The 22,613-nt window shown below is 40.8% G+C and overlaps 1 protein-coding gene and 1 pseudogene across 6 annotated transcripts in view, besides 1 other annotated feature; both read right to left on the bottom strand.

Moving 5' to 3' along the window:
* Positions 1-3,017: 3,017 nt before the first annotated feature.
* Positions 3,018-22,613, bottom strand: part of SACM1L (SAC1 like phosphatidylinositide phosphatase) — a 56,014-nt gene continuing 36,418 nt past the window's right edge. For 5 of the 6 annotated variants that reach the window (NM_001319073.2, NM_001437893.1, NM_014016.5 and 2 more), the window contains 9 exons: positions 17,047-17,126; positions 16,276-16,374; positions 13,054-13,192; positions 10,775-10,844; positions 10,583-10,655; positions 9,756-9,849; positions 9,554-9,646; positions 8,783-8,840; positions 3,018-4,894 (listed from right to left, as the gene is read on the bottom strand). In NM_001319073.2, coding sequence (NP_001306002.1) covers positions 4,758-4,894; positions 8,783-8,840; positions 9,554-9,646; positions 9,756-9,849; positions 10,583-10,655; positions 10,775-10,844; positions 13,054-13,192; positions 16,276-16,374; positions 17,047-17,126 — 843 coding nt within the window. In that variant the 3' untranslated portion in view covers positions 3,018-4,757. Of the gene's footprint in view, positions 4,895-8,782; positions 8,841-9,553; positions 9,647-9,755; positions 9,850-10,582; positions 10,656-10,774; positions 10,845-13,053; positions 13,193-16,275; positions 16,375-17,046; positions 17,127-22,613 lie in introns of those variants that run through there. The other variant, XR_007095650.1, reaches the window with a different exon arrangement.
* On the bottom strand, positions 5,457-5,752 carry RN7SL145P (RNA, 7SL, cytoplasmic 145, pseudogene; annotated as a pseudogene).
* Positions 20,629-20,825: a silencer, noted in NCBI's record as "fragment chr3:45769094-45769290 (GRCh37/hg19 assembly coordinates)". NCBI's record gives its function as "represses an EF-1alpha promoter that drives an FKBP-Casp9 reporter gene in an ReSE screen in K562 erythroleukemia cells {active_cell/tissue: K562}" and the evidence as "EXISTENCE:reporter gene assay evidence [ECO:0000049][PMID:32094911]".

Genomic DNA, 22,613 nt, shown 5'->3' with positions numbered 1-22,613 from the left:
AGTGAGAGTCCTCCTAATGTTACAGGATCTTTGGGGTGTTGGTTTTCTGGCTGGAAACCTCTGTGGCCAGTGGTGCCTTTGCCCGTGTTTTGTTCAGGCCTGCTGGGCTTGTTCCGCCCACTCAGCCTGGCAGGCTGAGCTCGGCTTACATTACGGGCCTGGATCCCATGCCTGCCAAGGCCAAGTCAGGTATGGAGCAGCAAGGGGTATGTAAGCATGGGGCCCAACCACTGCAGTTACACACACCAGCTGCTGCAGTGGGGTAGGCAGCTCCAAGTGCTGGCATGGGTGCGGGCTCTCTGCAAGGCTGCAGCTGGACCAGGCATGCATGCAAGCAGCTTCCACGGCTGCCAGTGCGGAAGACGGTAGTGCCCAGAAGCTTAGAGATGCTAGGAACTGCAGGACCCCAAAGAGGGAGTCACAGCCCTGACTCAGGGAACTCCCAGGTCTGGGTTCCCTGAAGGGCTGCAGGTCTTCTCTCCTTCGCGCACAATGTGGTGAGCAAGGGGCATTTCAGCCCTGTTTGTTATAGCTCTTTTAGCCTCACCATTTGGCGGGTCCTGAGTTCTTGTCCTGTGGCCAGGAAGAATGAAGTATGTGGACAAGTGGAGGATGAGCAAGATGAAGAGGAGCTTTATCGAGTGATAGAACAGCTCAGAGGAGACCTGCAGGGAGTACCTCCTTTCCGCAGCCAGGGTGTTCCGATAAGTGTTCAGCTCCTAGCAGAGAGGGTAGCTGCTCTCTCCAGGCAGGTCATCCCAAGTGTTCAGCTATCAGCAGAGAGGGTAGCTCTTCTCTGCAGCTGGTTGTCCCATTGTCTCTGCTCTGCTTTGGCTGAGCCCAGGGCCTTTCTGGGCCTCAGGAGGGAGAAACTGAATATGCCAATTGGTCCGTGGGCAGCCATAGGTGGGACCAGAAAAGGCACAAGTTCCCATTCCAGTCAGGTCCACAGAACTGGCAGCCCAGCCCCCAGCTTCCAGGCCGTCCGTGGCCTGAAGGTGGGGCCTCACCAGGGACCCGCCCCTTTCTGCCCAGGAGCCTGTCTGCCTCCTGCAGCCATCCATGGTGCCCAGACTGCTTGACCAAGGGGCACCTGCAGGTCAGCACCGAGACACCCTTAGCCTCCCCCTCAGTTTCCCCTCCCCTCCACCAGTGCTTGTTGGTGCCCAAAGTCCAGAGGGGGCCGACGTGGCAGGAGGCTGGCTTTTCAGTGCTGCCCCAAGTGTGCACACACCCTGCTGAGCTGTGACAATGCCCAGCTTCGGCTCCAACCCCACTCTGAGATCTGGCTCCCGAGGGTGCACAGTGCGGATACCCAGGTCCTGTGCCTGGGAAGGCGAGTCTCCCACCTGCTCCATGGACGTGCAGGCGGCTCTGGCCATGCCTCCTCGCAGTCTGGGGTAGGGGTTCAGGTTCCTTGCTGGGCCCATGCTGGCATCTGAGGCAAGAGTGACGTCACCACAAGTTCTTCCTGTGGTCCCAGTGCTCAGGGGTGGCCTAGGGCTCTCCCTTGCCTGGCTCACAGCCCTGCCCAGCAGGAGTGCCTCCAGGAGCGGATTGCAGGCCCTGGGCCTGGTCCTAGGGAGCATCAGGCTCAGAGGTCACCCCGCTATGAGGCAGACCCTGGGGATCCGGCCCTGGGAAATCCTGCGCAGAGCCTCCTCCCAAGGCGCAGGAATCCGGCGCCAGTCAGCAGGAAGGGTGCGGTGGCCGTGCCACTGGCTGTGTCCCCAAAGTGAGCACCGCTCCCACTTCCCACTCCAGGCCCCCAAAGGACAGCCCCAGCTCCGCACCCCAGGCGCGGCCCCCGTGCTCCATGTGCAAGCATGGCACCACCCCGGGCCCAGCTCCGCCTGTGGCCCTTCTCTGCCTGGTCCTCCATGCACAATCACGCTGCTCCCCCGCCGGCAGGCAACTCAACCTGGCCACATTGCGGCGGCCCCCCGGGAGACAGGCTCCAGGGGTATCCCTGCAGCAGGCTCCAGGGACTCTCCGCCCTCCTGGCAACAGCAAGCAACAGTGGTGGTAACGCGGACCAGGGTCCAGAGCAGTGGTGGCTCCAGGCCTGGAGGCAGGCCCCACTCGGCCACACAGGGGTGGGGGCGGCGCAGTCGGCTGCCACAGGGACACGGGGCACAGGGAACGTGGGGCACAGGGGTCTCACCATCACCACGGCTGCTCCTGCAGCCACCACTCACACCTCCCTGCTACGGCCGGCACAATGGCAGCAGCCACTCCAGACGGCCCACTGCTGCCATCACTAGGTACCAATGTGTTTCCATCACTATTTCCCTCATGCTGACACCTTCCTGTGGAGGTGTCATTTTCTAATAAGCAATATTTTCCCACATCAGCTGGGATTCATAACATTTTGAAAAACAAATTACAATTTGAAGGTGGGGGACACCTTTTTATGGACATTACACTTTACTAAATATTTCCCTGGGTTTCTCTATAACTAAAAATAAAAACTATAAGGAGATACAAAATTTCTTAAGTGATCATAACTGGAAAGCAAAATTGCAGAAGCTACTGATTTTCTTGCTTACTCTAATTTTTCTATGATGATCATGCATTGCTTTGTGTATTAATTTGTCTTCACACTGCTGTAAAGAACTACCTGAGACTGGGTAACATATAAAGAAAAGAGGTTTGACTCACAGTTCCGCATGGCTGGGGAGGCCTCACAAAACTTCATCATGGCAGAAGGTGAAGGGAAAGCAAAGCACATCTTAACACGGTGGCAGGAAAGTGAGCGAGCAAGGGGGTAAATGCCAAACACTTTTAAACCATCAGACCTCGTGCAAACTCATGAAAACAGCATGGGGGAAACCATCCCCCATGATCCAACCACCTCCCACCAGGTACCTCCCTCAACACGTAGGGATTACAATTTGAGATGAGATTTGGGTGGGTGGGGACACAGAGCCAAACCGTCTATCATTTTGCATGATTTTTAGCATTCTAAGATCAAAAAGAAAAACATCACTTTCAAAGTACATGAATGATACCAATAATAGAAAAGAATATGACATTTTATTTTCACTTATGGACATACAGTACATGAATTTAGAAATAAAATCGTCGCAGGATTCTGAAATACTGATACCTTAAGATCTAACACACTGATATTAGTCCATTCCCTACAAAGCAGCCACATTAGCAGTTCAGATTTGGTCTTTGTTGTAGCTGTTGACATTAAGTTCTTTAAGTGAAATGCCCAGCAGCATTTAAATAATATTTTACAGCAGACATGAACTAAGTTTCAATATTCCATCTTTGGAACAAATTATGCTTATTTACATGTTAACAGGTGGCTATATTTACTTACCCTATTGTGAGTTTAATGACTGATTTTAAACTACAGAGGGTTTTCCAGCTATTATTTCCTTTAGTTTCTAAAAGTAACGACTTATATTAATGTTTTATAAAAGATAGTGATGAAAAAAAGGTAATGCTGAAATAAAGGCGCTTTTAGAAATATTTAAGGACAACATAAGGTATTAATATTGGAAAAAAACTGTACATATTTTCAAGCACAACACTGAAATATTGCAGCAGTGTTTAACTGAATTATTTAAAATAGTGGTAATTATACTACCTTACATACCGTTCTAATATTTAAATCTCTTAATTACAATTTGAATATACAATCTGACTTACAATTAGAACTATGCACAGTTTCCGAAGCATATTTTTCAGGTTTGTTTTTGCACAAAAATTAACGTTTAAGTTGGTCCTTGATTTGGAGTACTATAACTACCTGGAAGCACTAAGTTTTAGACACATTCATTGATAGCCAACAAAATCCTTGACAGAGTGAAAAACATCAAGAGTACCATGCGTGAAAAAGCAGCTGTTACCCTCCAAGTGCAATATGAAATCTAGAACAAGACCCTCTCAGAGGCCTGCGTGTCTCAATGAGTGACCCTCAAAGAAACCAAAATGTATAGGAGGAAGTAGCTGACCAGTCATGGGCATCTTCCACATTGGGATAATCTTTAAAACAGAGGCAGCTTTGGACCTCTAGCGTAAGAGATAGACTTTACATTCTTTGATTTTATTTACACTTTTTTAAAAAGATAAAGTATATCTGAATTCTCTCATCACACCTAAACTGCTGGTGCACTGGCAGTTCAAGCTGATTAAAGTCATGAGGCAGCCCACCAGAGACTTTAAAGAACCCCAGACCTCATCCTCCTCTTTCCTATCATGAAGTCACAGACTGTCTCATCAAACTACTTGATGTCTGTAAGAGACTTACATTTTATAAACACAGTTAGCTTATTACTGAACTTTTAAGAAAAGTCCAAAGATGTGTGGAAAAGTATGCCTGCTAATAGTGACCGCTTCTACAATGACAATAATGAAACTGAGCTACAAAAATAATTTTGCTGTTTTAAATAATGAAAGGAGCTAGGTTTTTAAAATATATTACTTATTCTGCAACAGCTAATTAAATTGACAATCAATAGAATACAATGAACAGATTCAGCTTCCATTCTGCAAGCTGAATTCAGGTTATATTTTAATTACAGAATAGCTTCAAATTATAAATCTAACTGTCCCAATAGTAAAGAGACCATCAAGGCAGTAACATCAGATCAATTCTGTCATCATCCTGCATGGAGCACAAGATGTGCTTTTGGATAAAGGCATTAAAAAGACCTTGGGCTGATGTGGAAAGCGGGTCAGTAAAGACTCCAGTTCTGCACAATGGAATCTTCCAAGCCAAGCCGCTTTCCACAAATACAAATTCAGTCTATCTTTTCTTTCTGGACCAGTCTGGGAGCATCGACAAAATCTTTGCCATTGTAAAGAATGATAAAAAATGTTCCAATGCTTGCAACTCCCCAGAAGAGCACATAGGCCAGTGTTTCTGTCCAAGTGTCACCTGTTGATATTAAGAAACAAAAAGCTAAATAAGTCGTTTGTTGATATCAGACCCAGTTTTCAGCTGTTTAGCACATTTTGGCAACATTAAAGTTTACTAGCACATTCACAGGAAAAATATAAGAACCTCTTAATTAAGGTTTAAACCAGTGGTTCTCAAACCCTGGCTAGTACCAGAATCTTCTGCAGGGCTTGATAAAGCATCAACTGTTGGGCCCCAGGAATCTGCATTCTAGCAAGTTCCTAGTACCCAGGTGATGCTGATGCTACCGATCAAGAGGCTACACTTTGAGAACCACTGGACTAAATGATTTCATATTATATTATACAAATAATAATGATCACTTTTAGTATATTTTAATAATACAAATAACTATTAAGTTTAATTCATAGTTCTATAACAGATATGAGCTATTGTCAAAACACCTGCACAAAAAATTAATAGAATATTCATAAATACCAAACATAAGTTATACATAACTTTTCTGAAGTTATGTATATTTTGTAGAGTATTTTTTGCATATACACAAATATATAAAACAAAAGTCAATAACATTTTCTTTAGAGATGGGGTCTTGCTGTGTTGCCCAGGCTAGAGTGCAGTGGCTATTCACAAGCACCATTCCACTACTGATCAGCATGAAAGTTTTGTCCTGCTGTTTCCAACCTGTACTAGTTCACCATTCCTTAGGCAACCTGGTGATCTCCTGCTCAAAGAGGTCACCATATTGATGCTGAACTTAGTGCGGACATCCGATCAGCATAACACACTACAGACCAGAACTCCTGGGCTCAAGTGATCCTCCCACTTCAGCCTCCTGAGTAGCTGGGACTATAGGCACACACCACAGCACCCAGCCAATAACCTATTTTAATGACATATTTAACCCAACTCTGCTGATATGCATTTTCCAAAGTCCGAAGTTCATAAAGGTTAGCAGCAAGCCGGTGGGCAAAGATCTACTTTGTTTTACTCCTTGAATAGCTGAACCTAGAGAATAGCTTCTCTCTCTGCAACACTACTGGCCTCATTTGCAGAAGGAGAAATACATACAGGGAATGACAGCCAGTGAGCACACCACGGAAGAAACTAGCATCCAGACTCCTTCCTAACAAGCCCTCAGAGATCATGCTACATTTGTTTTCTATTCTCTTTGAAAACCACAGCAGGAGCTAGAAATCAGATATTACCATAACCAAACATCACAAAGTTTATCATAAGAATAAACTGACATGAGAAGTTACCATCCACAGCATCCAATCTCTTTTTACTCAAAATATACTCGAATTTGCATAATTGCTCATTTTCATGGCTCTGAAGTTTAAAATTCTTCTTGGACAAAAGAAGAAGGGCAGTTCCTTGTTAGCCACTCTGCTGGACACTCCCTAAAGGAATCATCCGTTTCATTCAAGCAGAGTTCTTGGTCTTGACTTTCCTGCCTCTCCAGAGGTTCTTTAAGTAAATGTGGGTATAGTCACAACAACAAAATGAACTAATTTAACAGTAGAGTGGCTCCCCAAAAATGGCATGCGCTGGGCAGTGTTTTCAGGAAAGAAGGCAGAGGACCCAGAGAGGAAATGAAAGCAGGGCTGGCCGCTGAGGAACCGGCACATGCTGCCTCTTCCTTCCTGCCCTAAAACCTGCAGTCATGTCCCAGGCAATACCTGTGCTTCAACCTGTTTTTGTATTGTAAGGTAAGAATGCTTTTTACATTTTTAAATGGTTATAAACACAAAAACAAAGAATGTACAGCCATCCATAAAGACAAAAATATTTACTACCTGGCTCTTTACAGAAAAATTTTGCTAACTATAATAATAATAAGATGGCTCTTTCTTTCCCCCTACTCAACATTTCAGCATTTAGTTAAAACTATGTCACGACTGTCTACAGGGCTGAGCACTGAGGGGAATACAGAGATGAACAGGTAACTGAGCCTCCCTATCAAAAAGGTGACAGAATTAGTGGTGGTGGTGGAGTGAGTCCTTAATTCAGCAAACATTTACTGAGGGCTCACTATATCCTGGACAAAGGAGATAAAACAATGAGTAAGACACAGTCTTTACCTTCAAAAAGTTGCTGATCCAGTGAAAAAAACAAACAAGTATGCAAATCATTACCATCCAAAAAGAAATACACACTGGGTATGTCAGGTACACCAAAGAGGTATACCACCTCTGAAAAATAACTCCCTATGTATTAATGAGGTTAAAAGAGGAAAGTGCTGGGAGAGAGGACCAGGAGTGCTGTGGAAATCCAGACAGAAGGTGAAGACTTCTGTGTGGGAGAGACACTCTGTGAGAGGGGAGCATATGAATGGTGCCCTGAGGATGGTGGAATTCAGACAGGCAGAGAGAGGTTGGCTCAACGAATTCAGGATAGAGGATGAAGGCTGGAAGGTGCCTCTTCTTTCAGAGTGACTAGGATTGCATCTCCAACGTCCAATACACCAAGTCTCAGACTCAAACCTCCAAATTACAGGACATTACTCAAAGGAGAATAAAGAATACATTCTTCTCACTTTAATCTTAAATGCTTTATTAACTCAGTAACATAGCAAAATATTAAGAGAAAAAAGAAAACCAGTAAAGACCTTGTCTCCTCAGGTTCTCAGGCAATTTTACTCTCAACCTTTAAAATGTAATGATAAGTAATATCTTAATCCATTAACATTTATTTGAGTTGGTTAAACTATACATCCATAAATGGAATACTTTGCAGCCATTAGCAATTAAGAACATGGGAAAACATACTGCTCAGTGAAAAAAAGCAGATAATGAAAATACGTATCTCACTTTTGAAAAAAAATCACAGACACTTATAAAGATTAAAACATCAAAATGTTAAGAGTGGTTAGCTTCTCTCTCAAAGGTATGATGATAAATAATATTTTCTCCTTTTCTGCCTACGTGTGCTTTCTATAATTACTATGTATTACTTTGGTAATGTGAAAGGAAAATAAAATCTCAGGACTCCAAATTTACTATGCCAAAGGAAAAAGTTAAACTTGGGAACTGAGTCTCACAAAACTACCCTCCTTTTGTTCCTAAGTAGACAGCTGCAAAGATAGTGGGCCACATATCCTCACAGATGGCCACCCTCACAAACTGTCACAAGCAAATTCCTTGTGGGCCCCAAAATCTTTACCCTAAAAGACAGTCCTGTTGAATCTCCCTCACCCTGACAATGTAAATTAACAGTTTATTTTCACAGGTATGGGACAAAGACAAGACTAGAAAATCATCCCTCCGCCCACCCCAAAACAAATGCAGATCTGACTTCTTTATCTACTCTATGTTTACTTTGTCTTACATAAAATGCAGATTTACTGAGCAGGAGATGAATGCATAATTGACTGTTCCTCTACCCCGTCCTTTCACATGTAACATGGATTCAGTGAGTGCTAATCAAAGCCTCACAAGAATGTGACCACTTATCTTACTACCTACCCTCCCCTTTTGTTTCCATTCCTCCTTCCTCTCCTGTACACTCTTTCCCCATTTAATACTGAAGTCCTTAAAACCCTCTTTGGAAAAAGCACAAGATACTGATCCTACTGTATCTTGTGTCTCTTTTTCCTGGGCAGGTCCTCAACCTTGGCAAATTAAGCCTCTAAACTGACTGAGACCTGTCTCAGACACTCATTGGTTTACAGTAATAAGAAAAACATGTTTTTAAAATCTGAGGTTAAAAAAAACGACAACCATCAAACTACTAGGTATGTTATTTTTCTTCCTGTCACATCTAATGACAATCTAATGTCACATCCACTTTACCCATTAAATTTAATAGGGAAACATCAAGTGTTCGGTGAACTCAAAAACTTAAGATGTTGTAAAAGAAAGGTCAACATTCTAACTAAGAAACAAATGTGTGGAGCAGACTTACCAGCCATAAGCAAACAGATAATGCACATTGAAAAGGCAACAACCATGATAATAGGCAACTGGAAAAGACAATAGAAAGAGATCATCATTTAAGAATGCTAATCAATGGCAGCAAAATCAGTTGTGCATGCATTGCTTGGGAAAAGAATAAAACTCATCTGTCAGCTAATACACAGCTAATATCTTTTGTCAACAAAACATTATTATTTATGGGTTCAATCACAACTGCCCTAGACTTTAGATGGGGGATGTGGTAAGATCGGAAGAAGCATGCTTTTGCTCCAAGCCAAAGGGTGCTAAATGGAAGGAGGATGCCCAGATGAGGACCTAGAACACTAGGCCTCCCTTCCATTCCAGAGCACTTGACACACTGGAAAGAAAATCCAGAGCGGCTCTTGCAGGGTCTGGTGAACAGAGGAGTCAAAAAGGAGAGAAGCATCAAAAATAAACTTTGCCTTCCATGTAACACGTTTGTCTCTGGCAATTCCCTCAATGTAAGAGAATTGAAGTTTTCCTGAAATGAGAAAGCTTCCACATTCCCTTTGCTTATGTTACTTCACATGAAAAGGATGTGTGAGAGTCTGAGGAAAAGAAAACAAATGCTCCACAGTTACTGTACTCCTCAGCCTGACCTCTTTGGAAAACTTAAGTATTTATATTTCATGTAATGAAATATAAAACCACATATAACGTTTTAAATTGAGACTGAAACCATCTATACCTTCAGACACAATGCTTTTAAAAACTTGAAAAATACAAAATGGTTTCTTACAGCCAGGAATTTCCAGTCCCTTGGAACACTTAAAGGACTATGAGATTCTAATTCATCCACTGAATAGTTTCCAAGAAATAAGTCTATGGAATCCTAGAACAGAAAGGAAGAAATTCGTAAACTCAGTGTGAGATAACATTAGTGATGAACAATGCAAAGATACAACCACGTAATGCCAGGAAAGCATCAAATACAAACTTACTTGTCTAAATCCATCGGAAAAGTTGTTCTTATAATATCGTATCATTGAGTTCCAGCCATCCATTATAAGTCCCAAATGAGTTCTCTTTCCAGTTCTGGTTAAAGAGGTTAAATTTTAAGTTACAGGTTTGTACACTGAATTCTCACACTGTTTTATGGCCAATAAGCATAAGGTATAGAAATAAGTGAGTGACAGATTTTAAAAACTATCCCTGAAAATACAGATACTTCACAAAAGAAATCACTTGTAGGTCCAAGAAATACCTATTTTCTTTCTAAAATATTACCAAAGGAGGCACAAAGAAACACACTAATTCCAGTTGCAAAGACAAGAAATATGAAGAGAAATACATAGCCCAGGTTAAGTGGTAGGACACAGCAAAGCAAACAGACTAGAAATCTTATTCTGCTCCCAGGGAACCCACATAGCAGAAAAAGAGCCACTGCATGCATAATACATTCAAAATGTTCTCATTAATGTCCTCATTACTCAGTGCAGTCTTTGAAAGCAGCATCAGCATCACCTGGGTGCTTTTTAGAGCACATCTCAAGACTGGTGCTTCAGGTACACGGTAAGGTCTGAGGAGCACTGTGGAGCGGTGGCTCTCAACCCTCCCCAAGCATCAGAATCTCCCAGGGTGGCTAAGAACACACCAGTACCCGGGCCTCACTTCCCAGAAATCCTGACTCCACAGGTCTCAAGTGAGGCCCAGATGCTGGAGTCTTGCTGTTGTTGCTGCTGCTGTCTGAAAGCTGCCCAGGTGATTTTTAAAAGCACCAGGACTGTGAACTACTGATGTGGAATGCTATTTTAAAAGCATGGCTTGCCTGGTAAAGTCAGTCTTCAAGGCACCAGTTCCCGCATATTGCTTGGCACAAGCATTTGCGTTGTCAGCCCAGGCTGTAGAAAAAAGTAAAAACAGCTGATAATTATTAAGATGACAAACAAAGTTCTAAATCCAGAATATTAATTTATTTCAAAATCTGACCAACTTTGTCTATATTAAAGAAATGACCTACCATTTTTGTAAATCTTCTCAAATTCATCTTGTTCTTCAAGCTTTTGTCCCACATGCAAAACTCCTAGTCTCTGGAATAAAAAACCACACCCAGATTTATGTGTAATAGATTTTAGCAGACATGGTTTAGGAAGAAAAAGCAGTCCCCAAATTTTATCTCATGGTGCCTGGTTGCTGGATGCAGGCCAGAAATGTCTGTTGTCTATAGGGGGCCCCAGCTCACAGCAGCCCTCTCCTGCCCAGGGCAGACTGCAAAGCCTCTCCTGAGGGCACCTTTGCCTTGCAGCCCCCGCACTCCCTTGAGGGATAGCAGCAGGACTATACTCAGGGAGAGGGTCAGAAGAGAGAGTGAAAGCTGCTATAGGATTCCAGCCGCTACTTCCTCCCTCCCTCTTACCCCCAGTCTTCTACTGCCTCTACCCCTTGAGACCCCCTCACATGCATCATCCCTCAACTTCTTCACCCCTGAGTCACCCCAGCCTTACCCTCTGTCCCAGGGACCTTTAAGAATCTGATGAGTGCCACCTAATCTACCTCCCCAAAAGTGCACACACACAGACATAGAATATCCCAGGGTTGCTGGGCCCCCTGAATCCCCTCTATAGACTCCCCTTTGGAGACCACCAACCACAGATGACAAGTCCCTGCCTTGTCTCAGACCATCACTTCTGAGAACCACCATCTTCATTGCTTACCTCAGATGACACCTCATCTCCACCTCAGAAGGAGTCATTCCCACCCTCAGACACAGCACAGGAGCCACCTTGGTGACCTTTAGCTGGGTAAGAACTCTGCCTTCACTGGCAGACTTGGAGAGGCACAAGTAGACAGCCCCTACACTAGTAGGCAAAGCTGCTGGAGAGGCTCCTGCCCCCACTCTCTGCAGGTTGGTTAGGTTTCATAATACTATATATAGCATGTAAAATTGTAAAATATGGATTGCAGAGCCTAGTCAAGTAAGTTTTGGTTAATCAGCCATGGAACCAAACCATTCCTAATATTGTTTCTATTAAAAACTACACTTAGAAGACCTTCCAACAGACGAGGACATAGCACAATACAAACTACAGACTACTCCAACAGGGACAGCACTCCTCTGGCAGGTGTGACTTTAAGATTCAAGAACAATTCATTCTGAAGGGGGTATTTTACCTCCATAATTTCTTTCTCGGTATCATACAATTGTCAGAAATAAAGCTGAATGCTTACTAATTACCTGAACAGGAAACCATGTGGTATGCATTTTGTCTGCCCCTCACAACAAATGCCAATGTGATTTAAAAATTGGGGCTCTACATCTTTTTCATTCCAAATATACACAGAAGAAAAAAACCATTTTTCTCAACAGCATAGTCTAGTGGTAAAGCAAAGCTGTGTCAGAAACTTTTTACTTTGGAGTCAATATTCCTTGCTAGTAATAAGAGAGAGATAAATAGAAACAATCTTGAGGTGCTACTTTTGTATTAACGAAATAGAAAAAAAAGAGGCTAGACACAGTGGCTCAAGCCTGTAATCCCAGCACTTTGGGAGCTGAGGCAGGTAGACTGCTTGAGCCCAGGGGTTTGAGACCAACCTGGGCAACATGGTGAAATCCTGTCTCTACAAAAAAAAATACAAAAATTAGCCAGGTGTGGTGGCACATGCCTGTAGCCCCAGCTTTGTGGGAGGCTGAGTTAGTAGGATGGCTTGAGCCCAGGAGGCAGAGGTTGCAGCAAGCCGAGACTGCACCACTGCACTCCAGCCTGGGCAACAGAGCCAGACACTTTCTCAAGGAAAAACAAAAAAAAAATTAAAATATCAAATGCTGGGAAGAGTTCAATGAAATGGATTTACTGATTCATTATTGGTGTCAGTGTAAACTGGTATGACGCTCTTGGAAAATAATATATTTATTCTCTTTAACCCAGTAATTCCACTTCTAGGAATTAACATGAAGGAAATAATTCAAGTTAATAATAACATATACAGATATATTCTCTACGGTGTTATTTATAAACCAAAAATGTAGCAATCTGAATGGCTTAGTAAATTACGGCACAACAATACAACCACCAGAAACTGTGATTACATAAATGCTAAGGGAAAATGGCAAAAGTGAAAACTGTGCATACACAGACTGACCCTAGTTATGGAAAATGTGACATCCATGGGCAAGACACAAAAATAAAAAGAGCTGGGTTAGGGTGTGGGCAATGTGAATATTTTTTGTTACTGGGTTTTAAAGATGTTTAATTTTTTGCTGTGTTGTTTTTCAATTAAAAAAAAAAAAAGCATTCGCACCTGAAGTTGGGCCTGAAGTGAACGACGAGCTAACAAACTCTGGATCACATTGGTTCTATCTAGACAATCCATGCAATTGCTTCGGAACACGCCTTCCTGGTTTGCCACCACCTGGCCAGCAGAGTCCACTAGAAAATAACTAAAACATATTTGTATAAACACTCTCATACCAAAGTAGGTCAGATTTACTAAGGACTTAACTCTTATAACATGGGTCTCATTTCAGTGACATTATTAAAAACTGTAAATTAAAAGGTCAGACAGGAATGTGTGGTCAGGCATATGTGATTATCCTAGACCAAAAAGAAGTCTAAATGGCTGAGGCAAGACAGCCCTCCATCCAAAAAATGGCTGAAGATTAGAGATCATCTCACCCCAAAGATGTGAAAAAGTAAAGTTAAGAGTATTAAAAAGGTTGCTGTGCAAATCAATCATGTTTCCCAAAGCCAGATGAGGGTTTCCTCTAACATAATTATTCCAACTATATCCCTAGATGTCAGGGCTTTATGATTCATATACTATCTTTAGAATCCTCTGGGTTGCTTGTGAAAAAAGATTCCTGGCCTTGAGATCAACTGAATCAGAATCTCTGAGGCAAGGATTGAATATTTTGCATTAAAAATACTTTTAGCTGGGCGTGGTGGTGCGTGCCTGTAATCCCAGCTACTTGGGAGGCTGAGGTGGAAGGATTACTTGAGCTCAGAAGTTCGAGACCAGCCTGGACAACATAACGAGTCCCTGCCTCTAAAAGAACAAAAACGTAGCCAGGCATGGTGGTGCCTACCTGTAGTCAGAAGGCTAAAGTGGGAGGATCACTTGAGCTCAAGGGTTAAAGGTTGCAGTGAACTATGATCACACCACTGCACTCCAGCCTGGGTGACAGAGCGATATCCTGTATCTAAATTAAAAAAAATTTTTTTTAAATACTTAAAAATATTTTTTTTCTTTTTCTTTTTTTTTTGAGATGGAATCTCCCTCCGTCACCCAGACTGAAGCACAGTGGCATGATCTCAGCTCACTCCAACCTCTGCCTCCCAGGTTCAAGTGATTCTCCTGCCTCGGCCTCCTGAGTAGCTGTGATTACAGGCACCCACCACCATGCCTGGCTAATTTTTGTATTTTTAGTACAGATAGGGTTTTGACATGTTGGCCAAGCTGGTCTTGAACTCCTGACCTCAGGTGATCCGTCTGCCTTGGCTTCCCAAAGTGCTGGGATTACAGGCGTGAGCCACAGCCCCCAGCCAAAAAAAAAAAAAAAAATTCTTAAATGGGTAATACATGCAAATAGTACAAGATTTATAAAGAACAATTGGGTATTATTTGAAAAATCAGTTTCCCTTCCTCCCCTTAAACATCCAGATGTCTGCACTGCAACCAACCACAGTTACCAGTTCCCATGTTTTCTTTAACAAGCTCCTTGATAATTCTATGAATTCAAAAATCTGACAACACACAGTGTGGTGGTTAAGAATATGGATGCAGGAAGCAAACTATCTGTTTGCTAGCCTTAGCATCATACGCAACTTACTAACTCTAGAACTTTAAATAGTAAGCTTTTTCATCCACAAAATGGAGGTAACAGCAGCACCACCATTAGGCTTCTCTAAGGTTTGAATGAGATAACACATAATGCACATAAAGTACTTAGCACAGTGTATGGAACACAGCAAACAACGAATACTGGATAATGTTAACTATTGAAACTATTCTCCAAAATCCAAAAGGAGGAAGAAAATGCAACAGATTCATCAAGGGCTAAATACAAATCATGACCTCAGGAACAAAAGCGTGGAAGAATGTGTTAGGATGAAAAATCTACATATGGATCATGCAGAATTGGTAAGGTTCGTTTAGAGTTGGTGTACATATATATGTGTGTGCAAGGGTGTGTGTGTCCGTACCCCATGAATACTTATAAAATCCTAGATATGTTATAAACATTATCGCTTAAACTATACAGTAAGTTATCATCTTCACTTTACAAATGAAGAAACCGAAGTCTGAAGATAACTAAGTGGCCCTGGGTCATATTACTACTAAGAGAAAAACTTAAATTCAAACCAAGGTGTGTTGGATCCCAAAGCCCAGATTCTTCCCACTACCCCCAAAACCCTTAGAAAAAAGTCTCGAGAGATCATCTGAAAGTCACCAGTGAAAGCTCTGCTCTCCCTGTGGACCACAGTGAACAGCAACGAACACAAACTCTGGAGTCAACTCTCCTTCTTTCTTACACTCTTGTACGGCAGCAGTTAATGGGTGAACCCAAGGAACTACCTCCTCCAACAACATGCCAGGGCCAGCCAATGTTTTCTCTAATTGCCCAACAACAGGAGGTCAATTTCCCTTCTGTGTTCATGGCAAAACGTCACAGAAAAAAAGCAGATTTAAATAACTGTAGTTGATTACCTAATGTATATAAAAAGATATTTTTGAAAACTGAGCAAATGTCTATCCAAGAGGTTTTACTATATTATTGTGTAACAAATTAAAAAGTGCATTTGGATTGCCAGGTTTAGAACCATCACACACAGGCAGAAGAAAATGGTAGTACGATTTACAGATTCCTTCTTCTGGCTTTAAAATCGGTAAAGACTGGCACGCATAGAGTATGGTAAACCTGAACCAATATGATAATATAGTACTGCAAAGACATTCAGACCCTTTGATCCATTAATCCTACTCTGAAGAATTTTTTTAAAGAAATAAATTTAACAGATGTAAAATATATATAATGATTCATGGCACCACAATCTTTCATGATAGAAAGAGGAAAGGAAATAAACCAGGTGCTCAGGGTGAAGAAAAGCACTTTCTTAGAACTATGTTATGATAAAACAGAATATAGAAAAGCCATTAAACACTATCATTACAGACGCTGTACAGGTTAACAACAAAATACTTGTGATAGAATGTCTAGTGGAAACGACAATACAAAATAGTAGTAAACCAAGTTCAATTATACAAAAATTTGTAAATGTATGGTAGATAATTTATAAAAATATGAAGATATCTGGCCTTGGGTCATTTTTAAGAATTCAAAAATATTTTGAAGTCACCAAGTCTCATCTTTCCAGTAAAGAAATTAAAAATAATAAAATAGTACAGACAAGCAATGACAATCCAGTGAACTGTACTTGTAAGTCTGCTGGATGACGCATAATAAAATATGACTGATATATATACCTCTTCCCTCTACCTCCTTAAGGAAATAATATAGCTTACCTTAATTCATCTTGCATTTCTGCTACCTGATCCAATAAAATACTTAGTCGATCCCATCTCATATTTTTACATTCCTTATGGAAGTCAAAGGCAATGTATCTACCAAAAGAAAAGATATTCAGAAACCGACCAGAGATCATTCATTTTCCTTCTATTAATAATACCTTCATAAGCTGATTTTCCTCTTTATATCAGTGCATACATATTTCTTGGGAACACTAGAACCTCCTTCACTCTGGGTTTATCACTATACATATACTACATGCACACACACACCCCTTCTCATGCTCATACCTAGCAGAGGAAAAAATATATATATGATATGTGCAGATATAAACATGAAAATATATGCATATATATCTATCCTCACAGGTTCTTCTGGGGCCCTCAGGAGGAGTAGAGGAGAAACACAACAAATGGTAGTGAAGTAAGCTCAAGTACAGCAATCAGGTATGCACTGCAAAGAGGCCTAGTCCAAATTCCTTAAGGCAATTCTAGTGGCAAAGTATTATCTATGGAAACTCTCTGGAGCACAAAGCCTCAATGAGGGAATTTTAATCAGAGACTAAACTCAAAACTTGACTGAAAAGAAGTTATTCTGCAACATAAATTATGCTAGAGAAATTTCAAGCCAACAAAATATCATGCTTTGATCTACTATTGAAAAAAATGCAAGCTGAAACATATGTCTAGTGAGCTCTATGTAATCATGCATATATGTAAGTGCACATCTGATCTGAAAAGACCTGCAACAGATTTCTAGTGAGGTACCTCATCATTCCACTTCCCAAGGAAGACACCATTGTTGCAAATGTCTGCTCAAGTGGCTTCTCCGAGCCCTTCTGGTTAATCTGTAAAAAATTTCAAACACCATAGTTTCCAGTTTATTTCAAAGGAGAGAATGGTATCAGAAAAAGGACAAACTAGGAAGCTCTAAGCTCTCATCATTCTCCCACAGAAACATCAAAAAAACCCAGAAGCTGTCTGAGCCAACTTTGTAGGAGCTCTGAAAAACGATTAAAGGTTTTATAGTAACCCACCCAAGCACCCAATAAAGTAAAAGTCACTTTCAAAATGGTGGGAAAGTTTTGTGGCATTTAACTTGTCCTTGACCCAGCCCCTCCTCAGAGTGGTGACAACCTTAGTCTTACAAGGGAATAACCGGGTTCTCAGTTCCCCTCATCAAACTAGAGGAGGCAGACCAGACCTTATTTGCATATAATTGTGTACATCTGTTGTAACATGAAGGACTAACTCATCTCTGTCCCACGTATCTCTGAACACGGGCAGTAAAAATGGTGACCACTGTTTGTAAAAGCTACAAGAGGAACATAAACCAATGGATGCCTGAGGCAAAAAATTCTGGATGGAGACATACAATAGACCATCTAAAGGCTGGAGAAGAAGCTTGGTGATATTCTTAGGAAATTAGGACTTTCAAAAGCAGCCATGTATATGAAGGAGTTTTGAAGGCCACCCACATAACCAGGCAAGATGCATGCTGAAAAGAGTCCTGAGAAGACCTTAAACCTTTACCACAGACTGATCCCTAGGCTCACAGCAAGCCTGGCTACTCAGCAAAGGACTGCCCCAGCATACAGCAAGTCTGCAAAGAATGGGGGACAGGGTTGTTCTCTCATTTTTGCTTTCTTTTTTTGTTAGTTTGTCTATTTCAGTTCTTGGAATTCAATGAAACCTGTCAAAACAGCTGAATAGAAGCAAAAGGAACAGACCTCAGTGAACATACACAATAAGAAAGTTTTGGCAAAAATAGTTTGGAAAAGTCTCAAAAAAAAAAAAAATGGATTAGCAGAGTCTTTAACAATCAAATAAAACAAAAAAAACCCCAGCAAACCGTAGGGGAAAAGGAGACTCTGACTTCCAGAGTTATGATATTATAATAATCAAACATATAATTAAAAAAAAAATCACAGGTACAAAAATAAACAGAAAAACATGACTCATTCAATGGAACATAAGAAATTGACAGAAACTGTTCCTGTGGAAGCCAAGACAGGACTTGGCTTATTAGACAAAGACTAGACTTATTAGACAAAGACTTTAAAGCAACTGTCTTAAAAACACTCAAAGAGCTAAGGGGAAACACAGACAAACAACTAAAAGAAATCAGGAAAACAATACATAAACAAAATGAGGATATCAACAAAGATAGAAAAATTATTATAAGAAGCCAAAAAATAATTCTGGAGCAAAAGAGTACAAAAAGTGAAATAAAATATTTAGCACTATGGGAATTCCAGGAAGAGAGAGAGAAAGGCAGAGACAGATTATTTGAAGAAAAAAAAAATAGCCAAAACCTTCCCAAATGTGATGAAACATATGAATCTACAAACCCAAGCTCTGAACTCTAAGGAGACCCACACCAAAAACATTATAATCACATAGCTGAAAGACAAAAACGGAATCCTGAAAAGCAGCAAGAGAGAGGAGACTCATCACACACAAGAGATTCTCAATGGGATTATCCGCCAATTTCTCATTAGAAATCTTGGAGGCTGAAGACAGTGGGATCATATATTTTAAATGCTGGAAGAAGAAAAAACTGTCAACCAAGGATTCTGTATCTGGCAAAACGTCCTTTAAAAATGAAGGAAAAATTAAGACATTCCTAGATAAACAAAACCTGAGGTAGTTCATTATCATTAAACCCAATCTGTAAGAAATGCTAAAGGGAGTCCTTCAGGTTGAAATGAAAGGATGCTACACAGTAACTTGCAGCTATACAGAGATATAAAAATTTCCAACAGGCTGGGCATAGTAGCTCACACCTGTAATCCCAGCACTTTGGGAGGCCGAGGTGGGCAGATCACTTGAGGTCAGGAGTTCGAGACTAGCCTGGCCAACATGAAAACCCTGTCTCTGCCAAAAATAAAAAAATTAGCTGGGTGTGGTGGCCCACACCTGTAATCCCAGCTACTCAGGAGGCTGAGGCAGGAGAATCGCTTGAACCCAGGAGGCAGAGGTTGCAGTGAGCCGAGATTGTGCCACTGTACTCCAGCCTGGGTGACAGAATAAGACTCTGTCTCAAAAAATAAATAAATAAATAAATAAATAAATCCAAAAAGGTAAAGACAAGGGCAAATATAAAAGCCAGTATTATTGAAATCCTGGTCTGTAACTCCAATTTTTATTTCTACAGGATTTAAAAGTCAAATGCAGTCAGGAATGGTGGCTCACATCTGTAATCCTAGCACTTTGGTAGGCTGAGGCAAGAGGATGGCTTGAGGCCAGGAGTTCAAGACCAGCCTGGGCAATATAGTGAGACCCCCATCTCTATAAAAAACAAAAAAATTAGCCAAGCATGGTGGTATGTGCCTATAGTCCTAGCTGCTCAGGAAGCTGAAGTGGGAGGATTCCTTCAGCCCAGGAGTTCAAGATTACACAGAGCTATGATCATGCCACTGCACACAAGCCTGGGCAACAGAGTAAGACCTTTTCTCTAAAAAATAAATACATATATACATAAATAAGAGCCAACTGCATAAAAATAATTATATATTGATGTTACTGAAACACAATATATAAAGATGGAATTTGAAATGTCAACATAAAAAGGAAGCATGAAGGCTTTACAGGAGTAGAGCTTTTATATGCTTCTGGTATCAATCCAAATTAGATACTTATAACATTAGGATGTTATATGTAATCCTCATGGTAACCACAAAGAAAACAGCTATAGAATATACACAAACGAAAATGAGAAGGTAATCAAAATATATCACTACCAAAAAAAATCAACTAAGCACAATAAGAGACAGTAATGGAGGAAATGAGGAACAAAAAGCTATAGGACACACAGAAAACAAGTAACAAAATAGCAGAAGTAAATCCTTATCAGTAATTACTTTAAATGCAAATGGATTAACTCTCCAGTAAAAATAAGTAGACTGGCAAAATGGAAAAAAATATGATCTAACTACATGCTGTCTCTAAGAGATTCATGTTAGACCTAAAGACACATATAGGTTGAAAGAGAAAGGATGAAAAAAGATATTTTGTGCAAATAGTAATCAAAAAAGAGCTGGAATAACTACACTAGTATCAGACAAAATACACTCTAAGTGAAACATTGTTACAAAAGACAAAAAAAGAACATTGTTTATTGATTAAATGGTCAATTTTCCAAGAAGATACAATTATAAACATATATGCAACAAACCATGACCGCCTGAAAATATAATGAAGCACACTGACAGAACTGAAGGGAGAAACAGAAAATTATATAATAATAGTAGAGGCTGGGCGCAGTGGCTCACGCCTGTAATCCCAGCACTTTGGAAGGCCGAGGCGGGCAGATCACGAGGTCAGGAGATTGAGACCACCCTGGCTAACACGGTAAAGCCCCATCTCTACTAAAAATACAAAAAATCAGCCAGGTGTGGTGGTGGGCGCCTGTAGTCCCAGCTACTCGGGAGGCTGAGGCAGGAGAATGGTGCAAACCAGGGAGGCATGCCACTGCACTCCAGCCTGGGTGACAGAGTGAGACACCATCTCCAAAAATAAATAAATAAAAAATTTAAAAAAATTGTAGGAAACTTCAATACCCTACTTTCAACAACAGAACAATCAGACAGAGATGAATAAGAAAATAGAGAATTTAAACACCATCATAAACCAATCAGACCATATTACTGTACCCAACAGCAGCAGAATACACATTTTTTTACAAGTACACATGAAATATTCTCTAAGACAAACTATATCTAGGCCAAAAAACAAGTTTTAACACATTTTTAAAAATTCAAATCACATTAAGTATATATTCTGATCACAACAGAAAGCTAAAAATCAAGAATAGAAGGAAAACTAGAAATTTCACAAACATGTGAAAAACAAACAACATACTGAACCACTGGTTCAAAGAAAAAATCCCAGCAAGAGAACTTAGAAAATACCTGAGACAAATGAAAACAAAAATACAATATACCAAATGTATGAAATAAAGCGGCCGGGCGCGGTGGCTCACGCCTGTAATCCCAGCACTTTGGGAGGCCGAGGCGGGTGGATCATGAGGTCAGGAGATCGAGACCATCCTGGCTAACAAGGTGAAACCCCGTCTCTACTAAAAATACAAAAAATTAGCCGGGCGCGGTGGCGGGCGCCTGTAGTCCCAGCTACTCGGGAGGCTGAGGCAGGAGAATGGCGTGAACCCGGGAAGCGGAGCTTGCAGTGAGCCGAGATTGCGCCACTGCAGTCCGCAGTCCGGCCTGGGTGACAGAGCGAGACTCCGTCTCAAAAAAAAAAAAAAAAAAAAAAAAAAAGAAATAAAGCAAAAGCAGTGCTGAGGAAAATTTGTCGCTGTAAATGCACACATTAAAAAAGAAAACCTCAAAGCAATAACCTAATTTTACACTTTAAGGAACAAGAAAAAGAAGAGCAAACTAAACCCAAAGCTACCGGAGGAAATAATAAAAATCAGAGTAGAGATAAATAAAATAGAAAATATAAAAACAATAAAGTCAATAAAACTAAAAGTTGAACTTTGAAAAGATCAACAAAATTCACAAACTCTTAGCTAGACTGACCAAAACAAAACAAAAGACTCAAATTACTAAAATCAAGAGTGACAGTGGACATTACTAGCAATTTCTGAGAAATAAAAAGGATCTAAGAGAATACTATGAACAACTGTATGCCAACAAGTAGGATAACCCAGATTGGCAAATTCCTAGACATATAACCTGCCAAAACTGAATCATGAAAAAATAGAAAATCTAAATAGACCAATACATAGTAAGGAGATTGAATCAGTAATGAAAACGAACAGAAAAAAAAAAAGTCTCCTAACAAAGAAAAGCCTGGACTAGATGGCTTTACTAGTGAACTCACCAGTGAATTGTACCAAAATTTAGAGAATTAACACCAGTCTTCCTCAAACTCTACCAAAAAGCTGAAGAAGAGAGAACACTTTCTAACTTATTCTGTAAAGATAAGATTATCCTGATATCAAAACCAAACAAAGATATTACAAGAAAACTACAGGCCAATATCCTTTATGAATATTAATGTAAAAATCCCCAGCCAAACACTAGCACACCAAATTCTGCAGCATATTTAAAAAGTATATACCATGACCAAAAGGATTTATTCCCACAATGTAAGGCTGGTTCAATACACAAAAATCCATCAGTATAACATACCACATTAGTAGAATGAAGGGAAAAAAAACAAACGAGCATCTCGATTGATACAGAAAAGTATTTGACAAAATTCAACACCTCTTCTTGATAAAAACACTCAACTGGATAACTTAGAAAAAGAAGAAAAGTTCCTCAGCATAAAGGCCATTATGTGAAAAACCCACAGCTAGTATCATA

The sequence above is a fragment of the Homo sapiens genome, chromosome 3 (genome assembly GCF_000001405.40).
Source record: "Homo sapiens chromosome 3, GRCh38.p14 Primary Assembly".
In the NCBI taxonomy this organism is placed as follows: Eukaryota; Metazoa; Chordata; class Mammalia; order Primates; family Hominidae; genus Homo; species Homo sapiens.
This window is presented reverse-complemented; position numbering and strand designations above follow the sequence as displayed.